Source organism: Homo sapiens, chromosome 2, assembly GCF_000001405.40.
Source record: "Homo sapiens chromosome 2, GRCh38.p14 Primary Assembly".
Taxonomy (NCBI): domain Eukaryota; kingdom Metazoa; phylum Chordata; class Mammalia; order Primates; family Hominidae; genus Homo; species Homo sapiens.
The window spans coordinates 61,686,039-61,712,566 of NC_000002.12; the positions used below are offsets into that span (position 1 = coordinate 61,686,039).

The 26,528-nt window shown below is 42.6% G+C and overlaps 1 pseudogene, besides 4 other annotated features; it reads right to left on the reverse strand.

Moving 5' to 3' along the window:
* Window positions 4,242–4,442: a silencer, noted in NCBI's record as "peak3721 fragment used in MPRA reporter construct". NCBI's record gives its function as "represses an SCP1 promoter by STARR-seq MPRAs in K562 erythroleukemia cells {active_cell/tissue: K562}" and the evidence as "EXISTENCE:reporter gene assay evidence [ECO:0000049][PMID:32103011]".
* Window positions 8,424–8,553: an enhancer, noted in NCBI's record as "active region_15835". NCBI's record gives its function as "activates an Ori minimal core promoter by ATAC-STARR-seq in GM12878 lymphoblastoid cells {active_cell/tissue: GM12878}" and the evidence as "EXISTENCE:reporter gene assay evidence [ECO:0000049][PMID:35858748]".
* Window positions 8,694–8,853: a silencer, noted in NCBI's record as "silent region_11531". NCBI's record gives its function as "represses an Ori minimal core promoter by ATAC-STARR-seq in GM12878 lymphoblastoid cells {active_cell/tissue: GM12878}" and the evidence as "EXISTENCE:reporter gene assay evidence [ECO:0000049][PMID:35858748]".
* Window positions 9,826–10,441: an enhancer, noted in NCBI's record as "H3K4me1 hESC enhancer chr2:61922999-61923614 (GRCh37/hg19 assembly coordinates)". NCBI's record gives its function as "activates a minimal SCP1, AML or CMV promoter by ChIP-STARR-seq in primed H9 embryonic stem cells {active_cell/tissue: H9 hESC(primed)}" and the evidence as "EXISTENCE:reporter gene assay evidence [ECO:0000049][PMID:30033119]".
* Window positions 24,559–24,940, reverse strand: LOC647077 (ribosomal protein L14 pseudogene; annotated as a pseudogene).

Here is a 26,528-nt window from a genome sequence, read left to right on the forward strand (position 1 = left end):
ATATTAGGGGAGAAACATTGTTTTTCACTATGAAGTATAATGTTACTGGTGGGGTTTTTGTGATTTTTTTTTCAAGTTGAGGAAGTTCCCCTTTATTTGTAGTTTTCTGACAGTTCTTATCATAAATGGATGTTGAATTTTTTCTAATGCACTTTCTACATTAATTGATATGATCATGTAATTTTTATTCTTTGGGCTGTTTATATGGTGGATTATGTTGATTGATTTTTGAATATTAAACCAGCCTTGCATCCCTGGAATAAGCCCCACTTGAATATTCTATTCAGTTTTGTACTAGAGATTCTGGCTAAGGCAATTAGTAAAGAAAAATAAAACGCATCCACATTGTAAAGGAAGAAATGAAACTATCTCTATTCACAGATGACACGATCCTATATATAGAAAATCCTAAGGAATACACTAAAAGTCTACTAGAAATAGAAAACCATTTCAGTGAGGTTGCAGAATATGTAATTGATATACAAAAATCATTTGCAGTTTTGCAATGAAAAATCCAAAAATGAAATCAAGAAGACAATTTCATTCACAATAGCATTAAAAAGAATAAAATACTTAGGGATAAATTTAACAAAAGAAGTGCAACTCATGTTAATCACAGCACTATTCACAATAGCAAAGACATGGAATCAACCTAGGTGCCCATCAATGGTGGATCGAAGAAAGAAAATGCGGTACATATACACAATGGAATACTATGCAGCCATAAAAAGAATGAAATCGTGTCCTTTGCAGCAACATAGAGGCAGCTGGAGGCCATTATGCTAAGTGAATTAACACAGAAACCGAAAACCAAATACCATATGTTCTCGCTTTTAAGACTCTGGCTCCCAGGTGGGCACAGTAGCTCAGGCCTGTCATCCCAGCACTTTGGGAGGCTGAGGCGGGCAGATCCCTTGAGGTCAGGAGTTCAAGACCAGCCTGCCCAAAATCTCTACTAAAAATATAAAAGTTAGCCGGTGTGGTGGTGGGTGCCTGTAATCCCAGCTACTTGGGAGGCTGAGGCAGGAGAATCACTTGAACCCGGGAGGTGGAGGTTGCGGTGAGCCAAGATCGCACCATTGCATTCCAGCCTGGGCGACAAGAGTGAGACTCCATCTCAAAAAAAAAAAAAAATAGTTTAGCTCCCATTTTTTCATCCCTTGCACTCACCCTCCTCTCCCCTAGTAGTTCCTGGTGCTTATTGTTCTCATCAATAATCACCCATAGCATGGGTACCCATCGACACAAAGATAGGAATAGTAAGCACTGGGGATGACTAGAAAGGGGAAGAAGAGAGGGGGCAAGGGTTGAAAAACTACCCACTGGGTACTATGCTCACTATCTGGGTGATGGGATCAGTTGTACCCCAAACCTCAACATCATGTAATATACCCATGTAACAAACCTGCACAGGTACATCCTGAACCTAAAATAAAGGTTGAAATTTAAAAAAAAATAGAAGTACAAAACTTATGCTCTGAAAACTACAAAACATTGTTGAACAGAATTAAAGGAGATCTACAGAAATGAAAAAAAATTCCATGTTCTTGGATTACAAGATTTAACATTGTTAAGAAGGCAACGCTCTTGAAACTGATCTAAAGATTTAATGCAATTCCTATCAGAATCCCCACTGACTTCTTCCTAGAAATTGACAAGTTTATTCTAAAATTCATATGGATTGCAAGGGACCCAGAATATTCGAATCAATCCTGAAAAAGGAGAATAAAGTTTGAAACTCACAATTCTTGATCTCAAATTTACTACAAATCAGTAGTTATCAAAACAGTGTGGTACTGGCACAAGGACAGACATATAGATGGATGGGAATGGAATTAACTGTCCAGAAATAAACCCTTACATCTATAGTCAACTCTGTCGCCCAGGCTAGGGTGTAGTGGCTCAATCTCTGCTCACTGCAACCTCTGCCTCCCGGGTTCATGCTTTCTCCTGCCTCAGCCTCCCAGGTAGCTGGGATTACAGGTGCCCACCACTATGCCCTGCTAATTTTTGTATTTTTAGTAGAGACGGGTTTTGTCATGTTGGCTAGGCTGGTCTCGAACTCCTGACCTCAGGTGATCTGCTCTCCTCAGCCTCCCAAAGTGCTGGGGTTACAGGCGTGAGACACAGTGCCTGGCCGATATTCAATTGATTTTGACAGGATACCAAGACCATTCAGTGGGAAGGAATATTCTTTTCAACAAATAGTGCTGGGATGACTGGATAGCTACAGGCAAAACAATAAAGTTGAACCCTTATTTCATACCATATACAAAAATTAACTCAAAAAGGATGAAAAACCTAAATGTAAGAGCTAAAATTATAAAATTCTTCGAAGAAAACAAGGAAACAGGGATCTTCATGATCTTGGATTTGGCAGAGTTCTTAGATATGAGAACAAAAATATGAACAACAAAAGAAAAAATGGACAAATTGGACTTCAAAATAAAAAACTTTTTTTTTTTCTTTTCAGACCGGGTCTCACTCTCTTGCCCAGGCTAGAGTAGAGTGGCGCAATCTCGGTTCACCACAGCCTCCGCCTCCAGGGCTCAAGTGATGCTCCGCCTCAGCCTCCCGAGTAGCTGGGACTACAGGCCCGCACCACTGCACCCAGGTAATTTTTCTATTTTTTTTGTAGAGATAGGTTTTCACCGTGTTGCCTAGGCTGGTCTCAAACTCCTGGGCTTAAGCAATCCTCCCACCCTGGCCTCTCAAAGTGCTGGGACTACAGGCATGAGCCACCACACCTGGCCAAAATAAAAAAACTTTTGTGCTTTAAAGGGCAGCACGTGGATCTTATTGAAACATTCTTTTTCAGCTGGTTTCTTTGATAATGCTCCAGGAGGAGGGTGGGGGCATGGGGCTGGACAGCACGTTACTGCTGGCTGGGGGTAGAAGTCCAGTTGGGTGCTGTACTCTTCGGGCCTACTTGGCCTCTGTTGGAGGTGCTCTTCATTACTTCTGGGTGGAGATGGGCATTCCAGGTCTTCACTAAGCCTCCACTGATGTCTCCCTGACAGGGAGGGCCTCACTCTGCTCCTGAGGGGGACCCCTCTGACATCACAGGGTTAGGGTGTGTCGCCTCCACCTCATGACTTTCTGAGTGGTTGTGAAAGTCCTGCGTCTCCACTAGGCTTCCTCTGGCACCACACTGGTGGTGGCAGGGTGGTGGTGGGTGGCACTGGGGCACCTCGTTATAGTCTGGCAAAGGTGGAAATCTAAGTTTCCTACTTGGCTTCCACTCAGGGGGATGGGTTGCGGCCACAGTTTTTTTCTGCCATGTTTGGCTCGAGTGTAGAAGTTACTGTCTAAAGGTTTTCTGTCTTACTAGGCTTCTCTTTTTCAGGTCCTTTGGCTAAGGAGAGCAGGCTTCTGTTGGAGCCGCCAGCTTCTTCAGCTCCAAGTGCAGTATAGATGAGATAGAAAGACAATCTAGAAGATGCATCGCTGTTCCTTGGGCCCTGAGTTTCCTAGCCAGTCTGCCTTCTCTCCACCTTTTAGAATCTTCATGTTTGTTTTCAAGTCGTAGACTCTTTTTTATTTATATTTATTTAAAAATTGAGAGAGTCTCACGATATTGTCCAGGCTGGTCTCAAACTCCTGGGCTCAAGTTATCTTCTCCGCCTCGGCTTCCCAAAGGGCTGGGATTACAGTCATGAACCACGGCTCTCAGCCCAAGTCACAGACTCTTAAAACGTAAAAAGATCTTGGAGATGATGGGCTTAATCATTTCCTTTTAGAGTGGGAGAAAATGAAACCAAAGTTACAAAATAGTTGCAATATTGGGAGATTCCAGTGTTCAAAGCTCTTTTCAGTACATCATGTTGCCTCAATCAGATGGTTTTGTTTCATTTTATTAGATGTGAACTCAAATTAATTGAGACTTTCCTCCAGATGCTCAAATTTAAGAAAAAAATTAGTATTAAATTTTGTCCAGTGAGCAATTAATCTTCATTTGTAAATTAAACTTAAGAATCATTTTTCAATTGCATAAGTTTGAATCAAAAAATTTTTAAATAAAAAGGTATTGAACATCTACTTTATGTAAAACAAAGGGCCAGTATACTTTGTAAAATGGACCATGTTACCAACCCACAGGTAATGTTCCATCTTAGAAATCTGTGACAGGCAAAAATGTCCCAGTTGTTTTTATTTAAAGACTAATTATTAACTTGATGCTGTTCTATTGGGAAACTTGTCTGTTTCTACATGGTGTTTTGTTTCTTCAATTTTCTACTAGAGTATTTGCCTTGTTTTAAATCCTTCATTGATGTATGACTCCACTGATACAACTGCCAATGGAAGGTGTTCATTTAACTTATTTAAATAGTTGGAACACAACTGAGTTGTCTGAGAGGATTTCCTAAATTGCTTCATAAACATGTTCAAAGGACTTATTTTTTTTCTTCTCAAGTATTAGGCAGATACCAAATATAAAGCTATATTGCTTAGTGTGTCAAAACTCCATGCTGTAATTACTAACTTGTTTTCCTACTTGCAAGTTAAAAAGGTCTTTTAAAAGGCACAAATTCTAACAGCTCTAGGTAGCATTTATTTTTGTCAAAATGACATTAAAACACCTTTTTCTTTTGACAAAAGACCATAGTCACACATTATACAACAATCTGAAAATACTGACAAGCAAAAATGTTCTGAAAACATTTATAATTTCACCATTGGAGACTTAATAACTTGATGTACAGTTTTCCAGACCTTTTTCTAGGACATATGAATCATATTATGTATGTAGATGAGTGTTTTAGTTGAAAAGACCCTCACTTTGTGCACTTTAACAGTATTTAGCACAGGATCTGGGGCTCTTAGGCTTTTTGGGAAGAAGGAAGCATTATTAAACATGAGATTACTTTCTGAGTTTGTGTTATTAATTGTTTTTTAATAATGTTAACATTTTAGATCTATGTAGGTGTAAGCTTTTAGACTATATTCATTTTGTACTATTGTACTTTGGGAGAAATAGGCTTTCAACCACAGGAAACAGTTCTGACAACTAGTTGAGGATACGAATGAAAGGAGGTGGCAGAGTGAGACTGATTTCTAAAGTAGTCATTGCTTAGGATTATTTCTTGGCTATTTACCATGTATAAGCACTAATATTTTATTCCATTAGCTATGATCAAGAAGTTAAGTGTTTCTTAAGCCCTCCAAGGATTTTCTTTTTTAAAAATTAGTATTTATTTACCTGATTATTAAAAAATGCTAATCATAGACAATGTGAAAAAATGTTGAAGTATAAAGAAAATTTAAGTGGCCCATAATCCTACTATTCAGCAATAACCACAATTAACATTTTGATGTAGTTGTTTATAGTCTCTTATCTATGCTATATATGTTACTGTTGTTGATTTATATTAGGTTTTCCAATTTTGTCATTATATATGCCACTGCAGTGAATATCTTTTATATATACATAAGGTTGAATTTTTTTTTTTTTTTTTTTTGAGACTGAGTCTCTTGCCCAGACTCTATTGCCCAGGCTGGAGTGCAGTGGCGTGATCTCGGCTCACTGCACCCTCCACCTCCCGGGTTCAAGTGTTTCTCCTTTCTCAGTCTCCCAAGTAGCTGAGAATACAGGTGCCTGCCACCACACCCAGCTAATTTTTGTATTTTTAGTGGAGAGGGGGTTTCGCCATGCTGGCCAGGCTGGTCTCAAACTCATGACCTCAAGTGATTTTCCTGCCTTGGCCTCCCAAAATGCTGGGATTACAGGCGTGAGACACCACACCTGGCCTTGGTTAAACTTTTTAAATTTTAAATTTTTTTTTATTTTTCAGATGAGGTCTCTCTGTTGCCCAGGCTGGAGTGCGGTGGTGCGATCTCCACTCACTGCAACCTCTGCTTCCCAGGTTCAAGCGATCCTCCCACCTCAACCTCCCGAGTAGCTTGGACCATAGGCACATGCTACCAAATCTGGCCAATTTTTTGTGTTTTTGGTAGAGACAGGGTTTTGCCATGTTGCCCAGGCTGATCTCAAACTCCTGGGCTCAAGTCATCCTCCTGCCTTAGCCTCCCAAAGTGCTGGGAGGCTAATCGTAGAGAATGATTACAGGCATGAACCACTGTGCCTGGCCAAGAAAATATTTTTTAGGAAAACATAAGGTTGTGCAGAATTCCTAACAGTGAAATTCAATTAGTAACATCCTATTTTGAGGCCTTGTGGAGTTTATCGTTATAAGGGGGGCTGTTAAATTGACCGACAGAAACATATGTGTATCGGGCCAGGGTGGCAACTATCATCAGTTTAACCATTCTATGAAAGCCAGTTTGCCACTTGTGAGAAAAACTGAGTTATGCTGTATCCTGTTTCTACATATGTATGGACAATCATGATTGTTCAGAATACCAATTTTATGAATTTTTGATTCACAAAATTTCATTAAAGCCTTAAATTCAAGATGTTTCTGAAACTGGTAAAACTTCAAAATGGAACATTATAAAATGAAACAGTTGTCAGTATACTGTCTTTAAACAGTCAAACACAGCCTTGGTATAATTGAAAATAAAAACTTGTAAGTTCTGCTGCGCAGCTGGTAATCACTATCCTTAGTACCACACATAGTATATTATACAATCCTTAGTACCACACATAGTATATTATACATACAAAGGTGACTTTTGTGCATACCCAATAGCAAAAGTGTCTGATCCGTTCAGTGCCCTGCACTTTGAAGATATTTTTGTTAGATAGGTGTGGTATCACATACTTCCAATGTTGTTTCCAATTCTGTGTATGCTTGTTCCAAGACAGACTTTCATGACCCTAACCCATGGTAGCTTCCTGCTTGATATTTATATACATCTGTACTGAAGTTTGGAAAGGTCACTTGAATGAACAATGCTTGACAGTGGTGTCACCAACCTTTCAATATGTATGTTAATTATAAATAAAGGCATATCTTTATACATAAACTTTTTGAGGCAGAGTCTTGCTCTATTGCCAAGGTAGAGTGCAGTGGTACGATCTCAGCTCACTGCAAACTCTACCACCCGGGTTCAAGCGATTCTTATGCCTCAGCCTCCCAAGTAAGTAGAACTACAGGCATGTGCCACCACGCCCAGCTAATTTTTGTATTTTTTGTAGAGATGGGGTTTCACCATGTTGGCCAGGCTGGTCTCGAACTCCTGAACTCAGGTGATCCACCTGCCTTGACTTCCCAAAGTGCTGGGATTACGGGCATGAGCCACCACGCCCAGCCTTTATATATAAACTTTCATGTATGAAATCATAATGTGGTTTCTTTGACGAGTTTTATAACATCACTCATTCTGCATGATTTTAAAAAATCAGCTTTACTGGGTTATGATTTACATTAAATGTACCCATTTACCTGTACAGTTTGATACACTTAGATAAATGTACACACCTGCATTCTGTATGATTTGGGGGAGACAGGTGACCTGAGTTCAATCCTAAACTGATAATTTACTAATCATGTGACCTTGGGCAAATTACCTTAACTTCTGAAAGCCCTGGTAAAAATCCCACTTGATAATAAAATCGAGTCCAGGATAATAAAATAAAAATCAAGTGGGAGTACTTTTCACTCTGTAACCAACTACTGCTGAATTATTCTTTTCCTTTTTTTGGACAGTCTCACCCTGTCACCCAGGCTGGAGTGCAGTGTTGTGATCTCTCCTGGGCTCAAGCGATCCTCCCGTCTCAGCCTCCCAAGTAGCTGGGATTACAGGCGTGCACCACCATGCCCAGCCTGAGATAGCTTCTGTAATTATTCTAGCACAATGCTAAGCACTTGCAGCAGGTGAGTGGTTTGTTTCCTTTACACTCCCTACAAGAAATGTGAATGCAATGCTCTTCAGTTTTGGAGAACACAGGCAAACAACTGTATGTGCTAAATCATCTGACTTCATTTTGATCACAAGGGCTTCCACCAGCCAATGAATACTTGCTGTGAATGCTGCCCAATGTCGGGCCTGAGGAAAACCAGACAGTGGCTTCATGTCATTTTTTAAATCATGTCTGATATATTTCATTGGAGCTTTTCCCCCCCAATACCCAAAGAGATACCCAAAGAGAACTCTGAAAACACCAATACCCCAATTTCCTGCTTTGTGCCTGCATTTCTCTAAATATTTCCATCTGAACTTTGTCTGCGAGTATTAGGTCAGATGTCTACTGTAATTACCAGGCATCCTGGGGACTGTAATTAAAAGGCAGTTTGAAATGACTGACACTTTGATGGTGATTCTAGCCATTTCTATTTTCTGACAACGAATCTTCCTCAAAAATTTTACTGCCCCCTCATGTCCTTGCTCCCTGATTTTTCTTCAGTTAGGCACTCCGTAATTCAGCAGCATTCTTTTCTTTCCACAATTTATCTCCCTACTCCCCTTCTCATCACTTGGGTCCGGCCGGTGAGCAAGGAGGAAGAAACCCAAAGGGATCTTCAGGGTCCGCGCCCCGCAAAAGGTCTCACAGCAGAGACGTACAGGAGAGGTGACCCAACCCCCGGACCTGGATGGGGCCCTTATGGGAAAAACCCCGTGTTTGCTTCAGGCCATTCTATGCGGCATCCACGAGGTCTGTGGGCCAGCGGCACGGCGCGGCCCTGTCCCCCAAAAAGGAGGAGAGGCAGGAGGAAGAGGAAGTGGCCGTACAGGCCGAAGCCTTGTGGAGCCTCAGTGCGGGGCTTGGCCAGGTCCTAGGGGGCGTGGCCTCGGAGGCGAAAGCGCAGGGCGGGGCCGAGGTGTAGGAACCGGGAGGGGCCTCGTGGGGGGAGGAGACTCGTGGGGGCGGGGCCCAAGGGAGGCGGGGTGGGGCGGGGCCGCGGCCAGAGGAAGCCCCTCCCGGTTTCCCTTGACAGGGTCACCTGCCTGCAAGCCACCTGCGCTCCCCTTCCTCTCCCACAGCCTACATGACCAGTGTGGGTCGCCAGCCTGAGCGAGGGTGCTCAGGTGGTTTCTACTCTCATTTTCACTTTCCAGTGCCGCTGCCGACTTGGAGGGGAGAAAGGGGCGGGGCAAACCCTGGTTTCGCCCCCCCGCCCTCAGGCTGGCTGCCACGCGGGGGCGCAGTCAGGGGGTCTGCGCTGTGTGGGTAGGGGGTCTTCAGGGCTGCCCCTCCGCAGTGCCACCCTAAGCCAAGATTCCCACCCCTGAGGCAATCCAGGATGAAATGCACACTGGCTGGGGTCATGTTAAGTAACAGAAGTATTCCCAGGCCCCAGCTATCTAAAAATATTCTTCCAGCTTAACGGGTTAGTTGCCTTTTTTTTTTTTTTTTTTGTATTTTGTTTTTTCCTTTAAGTAGAAAACTGGACCCTGAGAAATACGTACGGCCAGGCTAACCTGTGAGCAGCAGGACATGGCACACCCTGGGAAGCGAAGACAAGGTTCTCCCTCCCTCCCAATTGCTCATATGTGACATGGGTCCTCTCTCAGCGGCTCCCTGCACAGGATTCTTTTTTCAGAGAGGCTATTCCATTTCTCTAGTTTTGTGACACCCTCTTCACTGAATTCCTTCACTTTAGCTTAAGTCTTGATTGTGTCACCTACCCCAATGCTAGTCTAAAGGACTAAAGAGAGTAAGCCTTTCGAGGAAAGAAAGAAAACTATATAATTGCTTTTTATGTATTCGGTTTAACCAGCCAACTTCTGTGCTACACGGTGGGAAAACAAAGACATATATGACACAGAAAAGTAACTATACTCCAGCATTATACATTTAATAACAAAAACATATGGTAGACACAAAGGTAGAATAGGTGAGGGGGTGACTAATTTCATGAGATATGGGGAATGGGAGCCTAAGAAAAAGTTTTGGCCGGGCGCGGTGGCTCGCGTCTGTAATCCCAGCACTTCGGGAGGCCGAGGCGGGCAGATCACTTGAGGTCAGAAGTTCAAGACCAGGCTGGCCAACATGGTGAAACCTCGTCTCTACTAAAAATACAAAAATTAGCCGAGCGTGGTGGCGCGTGCCTGTAGTCCCAGCTACTGGGGAGGCTGAGGCGGGAGAATTGCTTGAACCCAGGAGGCGGAGGTTGCAGTGAGCCAAGATCGAGCCATTGCACTCCAGCCTGGGCAAAAAAGCGAGACTGTCTCAAACAAACAAAAATACAAGCAAGCAAACAAACAGTTTCAACCCGGAGTGAGGCCCATCTGAGGGGGCATTTGAAGCATCAACAGGAGTGTAAGAAAAGAAAGCCCTTGGCCGGGCGCGGTGGCTCACGTCTGTAATCACAGTACTTTGGGAGGCAGAAGCAGGTGGATCGCGAGGTCAGGAGATTGAGACCATCCTGGCCAATACGGTGAAACCCCGTCTCTACTAAAAATACAAAAATTAGCTTGGCATGGTGGCGCATGCCTGTAGTCCCAGCTACTCGGGAGGCTGAGGCAGGAGAATGGCGTGAACCCGGGAGGCGGAGCTTGCAGTGAGCCGAGATCGCTTCACTGCACTCCAGCCTGGGTGACAGAGCGAGACTCCATCTCAAAAAAAAAAAGAAAAGAAAAGAAAAGAAAAGACAGCCCATGAAGTAGATACTAAGTGACTACAGAATGCTGATTGACAACACAGAAAAGAAACGAGGAGGTACAGAATTCCCTTTTTCTTTCTTTCTCTGTGTTTCTTTTTCTCTCATCTTTCTTCTTTTTCTCCCTTTCTTTCTCTTTCCACAGGTCTTGTAGTATCACCCAGGCTGGAGAGTAGTGGCCGTATCATTTAGTTCCCTGCTGCCTCAAACTCCAGGGCTCAAGCAATCTTCCCGCCTCAGCCTTCCAAGGAGCTGCGTGTACAGGCGTGCGGCACCACATCTGGCTAATTTAAAAAATTTTTTCTGGGCGGGCACAGTGGCTCATGCCTGTAATCCCAGCACTTTGGGAGGCCGAGGCGGGTGGATCACGAGGTCAGGAGATCGAGATCATCCTCGCTAACACGGTGAAACGCCATCTCTACTAAAAATACAAAAAATTAGCCTGGCGTGGTGGCGGGCGCCTGTAGTCCCAGCTACTCCGGAGGCTGAGGCAGGAGAATGGATGAACCCAGGAGGCGGAACTTGTAGTGAGCCCAGATCGTGCCATTGCACTCCAGCCTGGGTGACAGAGCCAGACTCCGTCTCAAAACAAAACAAAACAAAAATAAAAATGAGGCCGGGCGCGATGGCTCACGCCTGTAATCCTAGCACTTTGGGAGGCTGAGGCGGGCGGATCACAAGGTCAGGAGATCATGACCATCCTGGCTAACACGGTGAAACCCCGTCTCTACTAAAAATACAAAAAATCAGCTGGGCATGGTGGCACGCGCCTGTAATCCCAGCTACTGGGGAGGCTGAGGCAAGATAATCGCTTGAACCCGGGAGGTAGAGGTTGCGGTGAGCCGAGATTGCGCCACTGCACTTCAGCCTGGGAGACAGAGCAAGACTCCCTCTGAAAAAAAAAAAATTTCTAGAGAGGGGTCTGGATATGTTACCCAAGCTAGTCTGCAACTTCTGGGCTCAAGCGGTCCTCCTGCTTCCCAAAGTGCTGGGATTACAGGCATGAGCTGCTGTGCCTGGCCATTCCCTTAATTTTAAATTGGCAGCAAAGAGATTAGTTGAAAGATGGGGTGAAGGGGTAGAGAATTCCTTTTACTCAAATCATAAACATTACAGAAATAAAAAAAACCCGGTCCTTTATAATTCCCACTCCAGGAAAGACCAATGTTGTCATATTGGCATATATTCTTCCAGGTTATGTATTCATAACTAACATTGTTTTCTATAGAAATGGAATCTCTCTCATATGCTGGAGGTAGTAGAGGAAAGTGGTGGAGTGTTCTGACTCTAGCAATCTGGTGTCACCTGAGCTGGAATGCAGGGTCCACCTCTTCCTAGTTCCATCACCTTGGGAGGTTATCTTCACCTCAGTTTCCCCTCTGCAAAATGGCACCATATCTGTACCAATTGTCAATTGAGATTTTAAATGGCCAAGAGTAATTTTTGTACATGGGAAGGAACTCATAAAGCTGCTTGCATCTCTGTTGATATTTAATTTATTATGGCAGTAAATTTTAAGCCTAGTTGTTATTAAGCATTTAACCACATTTCTCAAATTTATGTATAAATCTATCAATTTATTTGTTTATTTATTTTTTTGAGATGGAGTTTTGCTCTTTTGTCCAGGCTGGAGTGAAGTGGCGTGATCTTAGTTCGTCGCAACCTCTGCCCCCAGGGTTCAAGCGATTCTCCTGCCTCAGCCTCTTGAGTAGCTGGGATTGCAGGTGCCGACCACCATGCCTGGCTAATTTTAGAGGCGGGGTTTCACCATGTTGGCCAGGCTGGTCTCGAACTCCTGGCTTCAGGTGATCCACCCGCCTTGGCTCCCAAAGTACTAGGATTACAGGCATGAGCCAGGGCGCCCGGCCTATCAATTTATTTTAAAATAGAACACTTTCACTTGTACTTTGATTAATGTTCAGTGAGCTTATTAATTTGACATATTAAATTTCCCATTTAAACACTATTTATAAAGGTAATAGAATTTTCTTAAGCATTGTAAATTTATAAAAGCATACAGATTTAACAAATCAAATTCTCTTACATATTTAAACACTGTTTATAAACTTCATTTATTAAATTCCCTTAAAGATGCCAAATCCACACATTGCTGTAACTGATGGTCCCAGGTGCTTCATTCCCCCACCAAGGCAAACTGATACTGTACTCTGTAAATCACCTTGACCCATTCTCAGCCCCGTCCTGAGCACTTATAGACTGAATATTCCTGTAGGAGTCCTCCTGAGCACTGAAAGGGCATTGGTTAGGAGCATAATAAATAATAAATAAAGAGGTGATGAAGAGCCTGAATAGAATTCCTCATACAGGGCAGAGAAGGGCATTCCAGGCAGTGAATATCATACAACCCAAGTTACTAAATTGTTTGGGAAAAGTCACAGTTTACATCTAGCCTCATTCCCCTCTCAAATCATGTAACTGAATGTGAGCCAGGGACTTAGTGAAGTCATAAGATCTGTAGCTTTAGATTTATAAAAGTGGAGAATATACCGTATGTATGGTTTTGTGATCTGCTTTTATTATTTGTTTTTTGAGACAGGGTCTTGCTCTGTCACTCAGGCTGGAGTGCAGTGGCATAATCTCAGATCACTGCAACCTCCGCCTCCTGGGTTAAAACAATTCTCCTGCCTTAGCCTCCCTAGTAGCTGGGACTATAGGCGTGTGCCACCACGCCCGGCTAATTTTATGTATTTTTGGTAGAGATGGGTTTCAACATGTTGGCCAGGCTGGTCTCGAAATCCTGACCTCAAGTGATCTGCCCACCTAGGCCTCCTGAAATGTTAGGATTACAGGGGTGAGCCACCATGCCTGACCTGTAATCTGTTTTTATTTTTATACATTTTAAAACAAGTAAGCACTTTTTACATGAGTAGACTTCTATATTGTTAATAGCTGCAGAATACTTTATATGAATCTACAACAATTTTTTCCTTTTTTAAAAGGAACATTTAATAATGTTCCTTATTATTGAACATTTAGATTATTTGACAGAAAACACAAAGAATATTCCTGTAGCTGAATTTTTGCTTGCATCCTTAATCATTTTTCCAGGATAAATCCCCAGAAGTGGAATCACTGGGTCAACAGATAAATACATTTTTAGAGCTTAGGTTCATACTACAAATTACTCTCCAGAAAGATTGCTCCACTTTTTTTCTTTTCTTTTTTTTGAGATGGAGTTTCACTTTTGTTGCTCAGGCTGGAGTGAAATGGAATGATTCTGGCTCACTGCAACCTTCGCCTCCCGGGTTCAAGCAATTCTCCTGTCTCAGCCTCCCTAGTAGCTGGGATTACAGGCACCTGCCACCATGCCTGGCTACTTTTTGTATTTTTAGTAGAGACAGGGTTTCACCATGTTGGGCAGGCTGGTCTTGAACTCCTGACCTCAGGTGATCCGCCTGCCTCAGTGTCCCAAAGTGCTGGGATTACAGGTGTGAGCCACTGCGCGCCTGGCCAGATTGCTCCAATTTATACTGCCAGCAACAGAGTGTAAGAAAGCACTATTTGTGCTTTTTAAAAATGGTCCTCTTGTTCACAGTTTAAGGCCTTTGGCTGTAGATTTTATTTTTAAATACTGTATTTATTTTTCTGATTACAGTAATAACACATGGATTATACAAATTCAAATATTAACAAATATATGGCTAGGCATGGTGGCTCACACCTGTAATCCTAGCACTTTGGGAAGCCAAGGCAGGAGGATCGCTTGAGCCTAGGAGTTTGAGAACAGCCTGTGACATATAGCGAGATTCCAGTTTCTGCAAAAAAAAATAGCTGGGCATGGCGGTGTGAGCCTGTAGTCCTAGACACTTGGGAGGCTGAGGTGGGAGGATTGCTTGAGCCTGGTAGGTCGAGGCTACAGTAAGCTGTGATTGTCCCACTGCACTGTAGCCCAGGTGGCAGAGTAAGACACTGTCTCAAAAAATATATAAATTAAGAAAAATAAAAATATTTATAAAACCATATGCTAATACTTTGTAACTTTTTTTTTTCAATTAAACATACATCTTGGACATCTTTTTATGTCAGTATAATTAGAACTGTCTCATTTTTTTTCTCCTTCCTTCCTCCCTACTATCTTTCTGCTGAGTCAGCGGTATGCCGGGACCTTCTTGTACAGGCTTGAGAGCGCCAAATACGCACATCTCTTTACAACTTCAAGTTAAGTAACATCATCTTACCTTGGTAGCTCAAAATGGACCATGGCACCAGGCATGATGGCTCATGCCTGTAATCTCAACACTTTGGGAGGCTGAAGTGGGAGGATCACTTGAAACAACCTGGGCATAGTGAGACATGGTCTCTTAAGTAAATAAATAGGGCTGTGGTGAGAGAACATGTACCCTGAAAATTGTCAAACACTACAAATCAAAGTTTTGTTTTTGGACAACTTACCAGCACTCACAGTGGCTAATTATTATTATTTATTTATTTTGAGACGGAGTTTCGCTCTTGTCACCCAGGATGGAGGGCAGTGGCATGATCTCAGCTCACTGCAACCTCCGCCTCCCGGGCTTCAGTGAGTCTCTGAGTAGCTGGGTTTACAGGCGCCCGCCACCACGCCTGGCTAATTTTTTGTATTTTTGGTAGACACGTGGTTTCATCATGTTGGCCAGGCTGGTCTTGAACTCCTGACCTCAGTGATCCACCCGCCTTGGCCTCCCAAAGTGCAGGAATTACAGGTGTGAGCCACCATGCCCAGCTGGCTAATTGTTAATATTAATACTATTCTGTTGAATAGAAGTACCATAATTTATTTATCCAGCCCCTATATTGGAAAATTGAATTGTCTCTAATTTTTTTAAATTATAAATAGTATCTTTTTTTTGAAACAGTCTCATTCTATTGCCTAGGCTGGAGTGTAGTGGCACAATCTCAGCTCACTGCAACTTCCATCTCCTGGGTTCAAGAGATTCTCCTGCCTCAGCCTCTCAAGTAGCTGGGATTACAGGCATGTGCCACCACACCTAGCTAATTTTTTTTATTTTTAGTAGGACAGGGTTTCACCACGTTTGCCAGGCTGTTCTCAAACTCCTGACCTCCAGTGATACGCCCGCCTCAAAGTGCTGGGATTACAGGCTTGAGCCACCGCAGCTGGCCTAAAATTACAAACGGTACTTCAATGAACATCTTTGTGCATGTATTTTTTTATACTTATGTGAGTGTTCTCATAGAATGTATTCCTAGAAGTAGAATTAGTAGGTCAAAGGGAAGGAATATTTTTAAATTTAATAGATACTAAAAAGCCTTCTAATACAGTTTTACCATTGTACATTTCTGCCTAGAGTGTATGAATACATATTTCCCCTGTGAGTTTGTAATTAAGTTAAACTCAATTGGAAACATATGTCAAATTCCATTTCTTTCAAGGAATGGTAGGACTTTCAGCAAATGAGTCTAATCTATTTACTATCCTTTGATCAAACATTCAAAACCAATCATTATGAATGTTAAAAGGAAACTGCATAACAGAACCATAGGGAAAATTAATGTCTTGACTTGCAGCTTGTCAGAGACAGATGTTTTCATAACTGAGTTCATTTCGGTCTCCAAAGTAAATAGGTTTTTTTCTAGTAAATAAGAAATCAATAAATATTTAATTAATAAATGAAGGTTTAATGCTTTGGGGAACAACTTTGTATGGAACTCCTTCACAACATTGTGCAATATTTTCTCAGAATGGATTCCCAGAGATGATATTAGTGTGTCTAAAAGTACAAAACATTTTGGGCTCTTAATACAGATTGCCAAATTTCCCTCCAAAAAGTTATACCGTTTATACTTTCCTTGAGATTTGTCTGCCTGCACTATCTTTTAAAAGCAAATTAATTTGATAGTTGAAAGTCACCTCTATTTTATTTACAAGTATTATTTACTAATGAGGTTGGACATTTTTGGTGCCTTTATTGCCAATTTGTTTTTCGTTTTATCTATTTGTTCTTAGCTCTGTTTTATAGTTGTGTAATACTATTTTTCTTATTGACTGTTAACTATGTACACATTAAGAATATTACCCTTTTGACATATTTGTGACAGATATGTTTTCCTAGGTTGTTTTGGTCATTGTTCTCTTTTCCTGCTGCTTTCTGGCCTATTACTATGCATTTTTCAGCATGTGCATTTGTTTTCTTTGTTGTCTTTTAGGTGATACTGTAGCTAACTTCAGTTTTCTTAGCCCCTATTTCTCCTCTCCTGTCCCACTTAGAATTGCTGATAAAACTTTATTTACAATAAAATCAGGCAGCTGGCCCATAGGCCATAGTTTGTTGATTTGATTTTTCAAAATATTACATTAACATACCATTGATCTTGGCCGGGATCAGTGGCTCACGCCTGTAAGCTCAGCACTTTAGGAGGCTAAGATGGGAGGATCACTTGGTTCAAGACCAGCCTGGACAACATGGCAAGACCACATCTGTACAAAAAATACAAAAATTAGCTGGGTGTGGTGGTGTGAGCCTGTAGACCAGCTACTCAGGAGGCTGAGGTGGGAGGATTGCCTGAGCCCAGGAGGCGGAGGCTGCAGTGAGCTGAGATTGTGCCACTGCACCCCACCCTAGGTGACAGAACATGACTCTGTCTCCAAAAAAAAAAAAAAAAAAAAAGAAACATTTATCTTGATTACTAAAATTTTGGGTGTCACCTTAAATTTTGTGCTTTTCTCACCTCACTCTAGTCCTGTTCCTGCCTGAGGCCCCAGAATGCTTTACACCCAAGTCCATGCAAGTTATGAGGCTTCTGCTATGTTCAGTTAGGTGGAGCATCCTGAAAAAAAATAGTTTATCAAAGCATTTCCAGCTTCAACTAAGGCACAGAATTATGTGAATTTGCTAGTTGCTTAATATTTTTCTGCTCTCCTGAGATGGTTTGTCTCAAGACAAGCCTGGAGCACAAAGTGAGATGCCATCTCTACAAAAAATTAGCTGGGTGTGGTGGTGCACACCTGTAGTTTTAGCTACTTGGTAGGCTGATGCCAGAGGATTGCTTAAGCCAAGGAGTTGGAAGCTGTGAGCTATGATTGCACCATGGCACTCCAGCCTGGGTGACAGGCTATAAATAAATAAATGGAGATAGTTTGTCATAAAGCTCATCATAATTGAAATGATAAAAATCATATTTAATAGTTTTTTGGCATAATGTATATTAAAATGTGAAACATGATAAAAATAAGTTATATACATTTTATTTCATTTGTTTTTTTTAAGAGGGAGTCTCGCTGTGTCACCCAGGCTGGAGTACAGTGGCATGATCTTGGCTCACTGCAACCTCCGCCTCCTGGGTTCAAGCAATTCTCCTGTCTCACCCTCTTGAGTAGTTGGGACTACAGGTGCCCACCACCATGCCAATTTTTGTATTTTTAGTAGAGACAGGGTTTCACCATGTTGGTCAGGCTGGTCTTGAACTCCTGACCTCAGGTGATCCACCTGCCTCGGTCTCCCAAAGTGCTGGGATTACAGGCGTGAGCCACTGCGCACAGCCAATTTTATTTATTATTACTTTTGGGGTGCAGATATTAATAATCATGATCATGTTCTTCAAAATAATAAGCACTGCTGGGTATGGTGTCATGCCTGTCATCCCAGCTACTTGGGAGGCTTAGGGAGGAGGATTGCTTGAGGCCAGGAGTTCAAGAGCAGCCTAGGCAACATAGTGAAACCCTGTCGCTAAAAAAAAAAAAAAAGCACTGCTTTGTATTTCTACAGGTAATTTACACTTACCAGATATGTAAGCAGCAATTCTTTGGAAAAAAAAAATAAAACCAGGGGATTCTAGTAAATTCTCACTGGATACTGTTTAAATATGTTGGCCTAAATTGCCACTTACATTTAAGAGATATTTGCCCTGATTAATATGCAAAAGAACAGTTGTCCTTCAGTCAAAATGCAGATTTGAACTGCTTTATGGTAAAACACTGTGTTAGTTTCCTGTCGCTGCTAGAACAAATTACCAGAAACTTAGTGACTTAAACACAACACAGACATATCATCTTACCGTTCTGGAGTCAGAAACCCAAAGCTGTCTTGCTAAGCTAAGATCAGGTTGTCAGTAGAGGGCTGCATGCCTTTCAAGAGGCTCTGGGGGTGAATCCATTTCCTTGCATTTCCCAGGTTCCAGAGGCTGCCTGCATTCCTTGGCTCAGGGTCTCTTCCTCTGGCATTCTTCTCCACCCTGACCCCTGCTTTTGTTGTCACATCTCCCCAGACTCTGACTCTCCTGCCTCCCTCTTTCTCTTATAAGAACGCTTGTTATTACATTGGTCCCACCTGGAAGATCCAGGGTCATTTCCCCATCTCAAGATCTTTAACTTTCCCATCTGCAAACTCCCTTTTGCCATGTAAGGTAACATATTCACAGATTTCAGGAATTAGAACATGAACATCTTCAAACAGTCATTATTCTGTCTGTTGTGGACCCTATTTCTGAAATTTCTAATAATGAAACCAAAGTTGGCATTATATCTCTGCAAAGGGATGGAGAAAGCATTCTTATTTCACCGTACTTTAGACCTTGGCCAAAAGCTAACAGCATTTGAAGACAAACTCTTTAGCTACTTGTTTTCTTAGAATTTGGGAAGTTTTGAAATCTAAAGGGTTTTGAATACCTTCTAAGATTTCACTCTATATAATACATAATATCTATCTATGCTATGCTAGATCCCTATTAACTTTAACCAGGATCACACCAGGTTCAAGGGGCTGAAGAAGAGACCCAGAGCCAGCAAACAAGACATAGGGTTTTGTTTGGGGGAACTTACATACAGGGACAGTCCAGTGGTGGCCGGCTGGACAGAAGAACTGCAACCACTTGCAAAAGGCATGCAGTGTATGTAGCACCCTCACTCAGCAGGATCCCCCCCGGCAAACCTCACATGGCAAACCTCATTTCTTTCTTTCCTTTTTTTTTTTGGAGATGGAGTCTCGCTCTGTTGCCTAGGCCGGCGTGCAGTGTCATGATCTCAGCTCACTACAACCTCTGCTTCCTGGGTTCAAGCGATTCTCCTGCCTTAGCCTCCCAAGTAGCTGGGATTACAGGCACCTGCCACCACACCCGGCTAATTTTTGTACTTTTAGTAGAGCTGCGGTTTCACCATATTGGTTAGGCTGGTCTTGAACTTTTGACCTCAAGTGATCCACCCACCTCGGCCTCCCAAAGTGCCAGGATTACAGGCGTGAGCCATTGCACCCAGCCGGCAACACTCATTTCTTAAGTTATTGCTGCTGCCAGGTGCATCTGCCATTCAGGGTATGCTTAAGTTAAATTATTGCTGTCAGGTGCATCCACCCTACAATCCAGAACATGGCAACACTGCTAAAGCCTTGGCTGTGCCTGCACACACACACATGAGCTGTCCTGAGTAGCCAAAACAGCTGACAGAAAGGTATTGAGATCCTGTGTTTCACACGTAGGAAAACCTTAGACCACACAGTGATTCCACCTCTTCACATGTAGTTCTAATAGTTTCATGCTTGACTTATAGTTCTAATAAGCTTGGTAATCTGATTTTCAATCCTTGGCTGACTTGCAGTAGAAAATTAGGAAGCCAAGAAGGGAAGCTCTAGGCAGATAAACTGACAGACCTAAAAAGACTTGAGGAAACATATTCTAGTTAATAATGTGCCTCATTTATATGATATAGTCAAGTGCAATAAACATATACTAAACCTGTGCATTTAAGTCAAAAAAAGGAAGGTGGGAAAGAAGAGGTGCTTTAAGTAAAATTCTCAAACCTTTGACCAACCACTACCTCTCTGGGCTTTTACTTATTCATATAAAAAAAGAAACATTTAAATAATTTAATGTCTAGGCTCCTGTTTACTGTAGAATTCTATGATTTTAGGTGACAACAAATAGCTTGCCAGCAAGGAGTCAATCAGGAGTATTGTGATATGTACTTTTTGTTTTTTTTGAGACAGGGTCTCATTCTGCTGCCCAGGATGGAGTGCAGCGGTGCGATCATGGCTCACTGCAGCCTCAACCTCCTGGGCTCAGGTGACGATCCTCCCACCTCAGCATCCTGGGTAGATGGGACTGCAGGTCCCATTTTTAAAATGCCTGGCTAATTTTTAAAATTTTTTGTAGAGACAGGATCTTGCCATGTTGCCCAGGCTAGTCTCGAACTCCTGGGCTCAAGTGATCCTCCCGCCTGGTTCTCTCACAATGTTGGGATTATAGGCCTGAGCCACTGAGTCTGGCCTTTGTCCTATTTCTTAAAAATTATATTTGCTACTACCATGACTACTACTCCAGTGCTTTACCAGCACTTAAATACCTCCAATGTCTGGGACAATTAGGAGTGAGGCAGACAGGGTAAGCATTTCAATCATGTCAGAGGCATCGTTTTCATAACCAGAACAATAACGAATATTTATGATGATTTAACCTAAACAGCAATTAATAAACAGCTCTTGTGTGCCAGGCACTGTGTCAGGTGCTAAGTCTTCATGGGAAATAAATTTATTCTTATATGTCTCGGGAGACAGGTGGAAAGCAATTTGGCAGTAACTACATTAAAACTTTTAAAATATGTAAATATTTTGATCCAGAATTCTTACTCCCAGAAGTTGTCCAAGTTTTTGCTGGACAATTGCAAGTGCCCAAAGATATCTTTCAAAGATGCTTACTTCTGCGTTATTTGTAAGAGTGAAACACTGGAAATGACCTAAACATCCAACATAGAGTGAGACCTATATATACCAATATGAAAAGCTGCCCAACATATACTGCTACATGACAAAAGAAAGTTGTAAGACTGTATCTTTTATTTTGTTGATATATAGATATGAGTATTTGTATACAATATCTGGAGACATATACAATAATTTTTTTTCTTTTTCTTTTTCTTTTTTTTTTTTGAGAAAGGGTCTGGCTTTGTTGCCCAGGCTGGAGTGCAGTGGTACGATCTTAGCTCACTGCAACCTCTTACCTCCTGGGCTCAAGCAATCCTCCCATCTGAGTCTCCTGAGTAGCTGGGATTACAGGTGAATGCTATCATGCCTGGCTAATTTTTGCATTTTTAGTAGAGATGGGGTTTTACCATGTTGCCCAGGCTGGTCTCGAACCCCTGGACTCAAACAATCCCTCTGCCTCAGCCTCTCAAAGTACTGGGATGACAGGTGTGAGCCACCCCGGTGGCCAACAAACTATTAACAAGGGGCAGGATTATGGAGACTTTTCTGTTTTGTTAAATGTTCATTTAAAAGTAATAAACACATTACACAAGAAAAATAACAAACGTAACAACAAAAAGAATAATACAAAATGAAAGGCAAGAAATTAAGTAATACATTTTACAAATATTTTCATGGGGAACTATTGAAAATTTATTGAAAACAACATGTTTTCCAAGAATTTAGAATGGAAAAGTTGTTCCACCTGCAGCTTTCTGATTGAGTAGCTGGATGCTGTGATCTTTCACTCAGTTACCCCCTCTTCATCCTGGTTGATTTCCAGCTTTCAATAAAGCTTTTCACCTGACGCAGGATAATAGCGAGTGCATGTGTGCTGGTTTGTTTACTGTGAGTCTCTCAGAGGAAATCATGTGCATCTGTCTGTTTACTTTTCCGTGGAACCTAGAAGGTCACCTCTAAAAATAATCTTGCTCGGTGTTAGAGTTTCTGTGACACAGAGGTACATACCTCACATGCTCTCCACAGTTAGTGCGCTAAGCCAGGCATATCTAGTTCCCAAATGACTCAGATCAGAGAAGGAGGGGAAGGCAGCTGCCAGCTAAGATGTCTAGTGACTGATTTAAGAGCAGATGCAGAGGAAGCCCTTTACAAAATGGGACACACTCATGGCTGCCTTTCTAGATCAGTGATGTTGAACTTTTAAATATGTTTATTGGCTTTTTGTATTTCTTCTTTGTAAGTTTCCAAAGGAAATATTAGGAGAATTTCTGAACCAGAGCCCATGCTATGGCTATTTGACTTTGCAGTAGACACATTTGGATGCCTTTTCACTACCTCCTTTGGCCCCGAAGCTCTTGTTAAAACAGGTGCGCCTGAGGAACTGCGTTTATGCGTGAAGAACACTCTCCATTTGCCCCTGACGTCTGCCTCACTCTTCCCAGATTGAACCTTTATTATCCCATGCTGGGCTGGGACCTCATTATGGAAGGCCTCGAAAGCCAGCCTGCGGAGGTTGAACAAGGGAGTAGGATGATGAGAGTTCTGCTGTAAGAGATTAACCCAGCATCAGTGTAAGAGACTTGAGAGGGAAGAATGGGTAGAGAAAGAGATCAGTTAGAAGTCTTTTATTGGCTGGGCATGATGGCTCACACCTGTAATCCCAGCACTTTGGGAGGCCAAGGCGGGCGGATCACCTGAGGTCAGGAGTTCAAGACCATCCTGGCCAACATGGTGGAACCCCGTCTCTACTAAAAATACAAAAATTAGCGGGGTGAGGTGGCAGGCGTCTGTGGTTGAGGTGGCGGGCGTCTGTAATCCCAGCTACTTGGGAGGCTGAGGCAGGAGAATCACTTGAACCCAGAAGGCAAAGGTTGCAGTGAGCCAAGATCATGCCATTGCATTCCAGCCTGGGCTGGAGGAAGACTCCGTCTCAAAAAAAAAAAAAAAAAAAAAAAAAGAAGTCTTTTGTCAGCTGCTCTGCCTATGGAGTAGCCATTCTTTTATTCCTTTACTTTCCTAATAAACTTGCCTTCACTTAAAAAAAAAAAAAAAAGAAGCCTGTTGTCCAAGTCAGAAACAATGAAAGCCTGAGCTAAAGCCACGAGCAGGAGAGAAGGGAATAGAAAGAGATAAATTGAAGAAGCAAATCTATGAAATTGTACAGCTGATTGGATCCAGGATACAAAGGAGTTCCGTAGGTCCCAGAAGACTCCTAGATGTGTGCTGGAAATTGTAGTGCTGCTGTGGAGATGTCACACACTGGGCTCTACCTCGTCCTCTTATGCCTCTTCGGGGATCTCATGCCAACAACTGTTTTGTCATCTATCTTCAATTATTTACTGCCATTGATTCCTTCCCATGAGGCCTATTTAAGAATCTCCACATTTTAGAACAAAATAAACCAAACCAAACCATACCAAAACAAACCTTCCCTCTTGAGAGGAAGAATAGACTACTAATGTCCTTATCGTAGAAGTAGGGAGTCAAGAGACACTATCCATGATTAATAGAACGAAGAAGGGAGCTTAAGTAGGTTGCAAAGAGGGCCAGTGGAGAGATTGAGAATGGTGATGCAACCACTTTGGAGGAGAGGGGAACGAGAGGAGTGTAAGTGAACTAAATTCTCATCCAGCATATCAGGAAGTTAATAGAGAATGTCTAAGGCGGATAAATCAAGAAATAGTTAGGCCAGGAGGTGAATTAGTGATCTGGAGGTTACTACAACACAGAAGCAGTTCAAAGTGCTTGCCTCTTCAGGGTGGCTCGGGACTGTTGCTTTTTTGAACCATTTGCGTGTATTTCTTTGATGAAATTTTTAAAGCGTTTTTTCCCTGTTTTTTAACATGTCAAAAAGAGCCTTTATTACTTTAGTAGTAGCCTCTTATGCTTCCTTGCCAGACACTTTTGGAGAAGGTGCTCCCTGGGCCAACACTTTTTGACCCTTCTGAGCTTTCTGAAGAAGTGCTGCCTTCTGGCCTGTGGCTTTCTGGGCAGGAATCTTCCGGGCTGGAGCCTTCTTGCCCGCAGTGATCATCTTTTTTGCTGGGACTTTAGCAGCAGGTGCTTTTCTGGTAGAAGCTTTCAGGAGAGCTGCCTTTCGAAGCTTCCTAAACTCATTTTTTGTTTGTTTGTTTTTTGAGACAGAGTCTCGCTCTTGTCGCCCAGGCTGAAGTGCAATGGCACAATCTCGGCTCACTGCAACCTCTGCCTCCTGGGTTCAAGTGATTCTCCTGCCTCAGTCTCCCAAGTAGCTGGGATTACAGGCACGCGCCACCACGCCCAGCAAATTTTTGTATTTTTAGTAGAGACAGGGTTTCACCATGTTGGCCAGGTTGGTCTCAAACTCCTGACCTCAGGTGATCTGCCTGCCTTGGACTCCCAAAGTGCTGGGATTACAGGCGTGAGCCTCTAACTTCATTCTTAATTATTCTTTTCCTCATTTTCTTTGCCTTCATGGCTTTAAAACAATCAAAATCTGTCATCTTGGCTTTCCTCTCTTTGGCTTCAATCTTCTTGGCTTAGTGTGGCTGCCCATTTTGCATTGAGGTCTACCTGCTGCCAGGCTTGTTGGACATACCTTTGGTGGGTGCTATGTGGGAACTTGAGGATGAAGTCAGTGAGCTGCATGCATTTGAAAGACACGGCCTGTCCCATTACCTGAGTGCAAAGTCCATCAGCCAGAGCCCTGTTTTCATCAGTAACATCTACAACTGCGACCAGCTTTCCAGCATAAGGTCCAAAGGAGACATAGGCCACCTGGCAAACCTCCAGGAAGTGCTTGAACATCATGTCGGCAGCGTTTGGCAAGAAGGAAGTTCTTTCTTTTTTTGGTATAATGGGGAGAGAAGCCTTTAAAAAGCCTCCCTAAATTCACATCTCCTTATGGCTACCATTTTTTTCTCTTCTTCCTTGAAATATATTCTTTTTTGTTGTTGTTTGTTTGTTTGTTTGTTTGTTTTTGAGATGGAGTCTTGTTCTGTTGCCCAGGCTGGATTGCAGTGGCTCGATCTTGGCTTGCTGCAAACTCCGCCTCCCGGGTTCACACCATTCTCCTGCCTCAGCCTTCCAAATAGCTGGGACTACAGGCGCCCGCCACCACACCCCGCTAATTTTTTGTATTTTTAGTAGAGACAGGGTTTCACCGTGTTAGCCAGGATAAATATATTCTTTAATATAATAATAATAGTAGTAGCTAACACTGACTGAGGTATTGTTATATGCCAGGCATTGGCACATAACATTCATTCATCATCTTATTTAATCTTTGAAGTGAGCTTATTGCAACTAGACATCTTTAATGAATTGTCTATTCTTACTGTCCTCATTTGCTCACCATCCAATCTCTTCTCAACCCACCACAAACTGGCTTTTGCCATCTAAACTCCACTTAGACTCTCCCAACAAGGGCACCAATGACCTCCCTATTGTTGAAACTGGTTACACTTGCCATGGCTTTGGTTACACTTGCGTTTTTTTTGTTTGTTTGTTTGTTTGTTTTTTTAAATCTACCTCCTGGCTTCTTCACAGTTCTCCTCTAAGGTCTTTCTTCTGCTGCCCACCTCCTAAATGTTGGTGTTCCTCAGATTTCCTGCTCTAGCCTGCATTTCCTCTCATTTTATGTCTCTTAGGATCATTTATATATTCCCCTTGCTCAAGTTATCACGGATGACACTCAGACCTCTGTGTCTATCCCAAACAGTTTTCTCCTGACTGCGAACCCACATACCACTGTCCACCTGACATCCTGATCTGGGTGTCCCACTGGTGCCTCAACTCAACAGGTCCCCAGTGAAATGCATCCTCATCCCCTGACACCTGCCCTTTCTCCTGTGTCCCTTTCTCAGTGACTCCACTACCATCCACACAATTGTCCAGCCTGCAAGTGCTTAGCTGCCCTGCATATCTAGTCAACCAACAAGTCCTGTGCCATCACCAACCCGCATAACTCTCTAGTCCTCTTCATTGAGGGGGCCTCTCCCTTCTTTTGCACCATCATCATCCTCTCTCCTCTGAACTAAGCCAGTGACTTGTTCAGTGTCTCCCCAACGCCAAGGAGCCCCTCCAGTCTGTTCTCCACACTGCAGCCAGAGTGATTATTTCTCATATGCAAATCTGCACCTGCCCCTCCTCTGCTTAAGAGCATTGAATGGTTTCTTGCACCTTCAACCTAGATTCTAGCTGGCCTCTGCTTACCTCTTTCTCAGGCTCCTTCGGCACTGGCTCCTGCCATGCTGAAACCACTTGCAGCGTCCCAACTCTCTCTCCCCAGCTTTCAGGCATTTACACTCACTGCTCACCACTTCCTCCTACCCTGTATCTTCCTGTATAATTCCTACTGGTCCTTCTTGATTCAGTATAGATGTCACTTCTCTGGAGG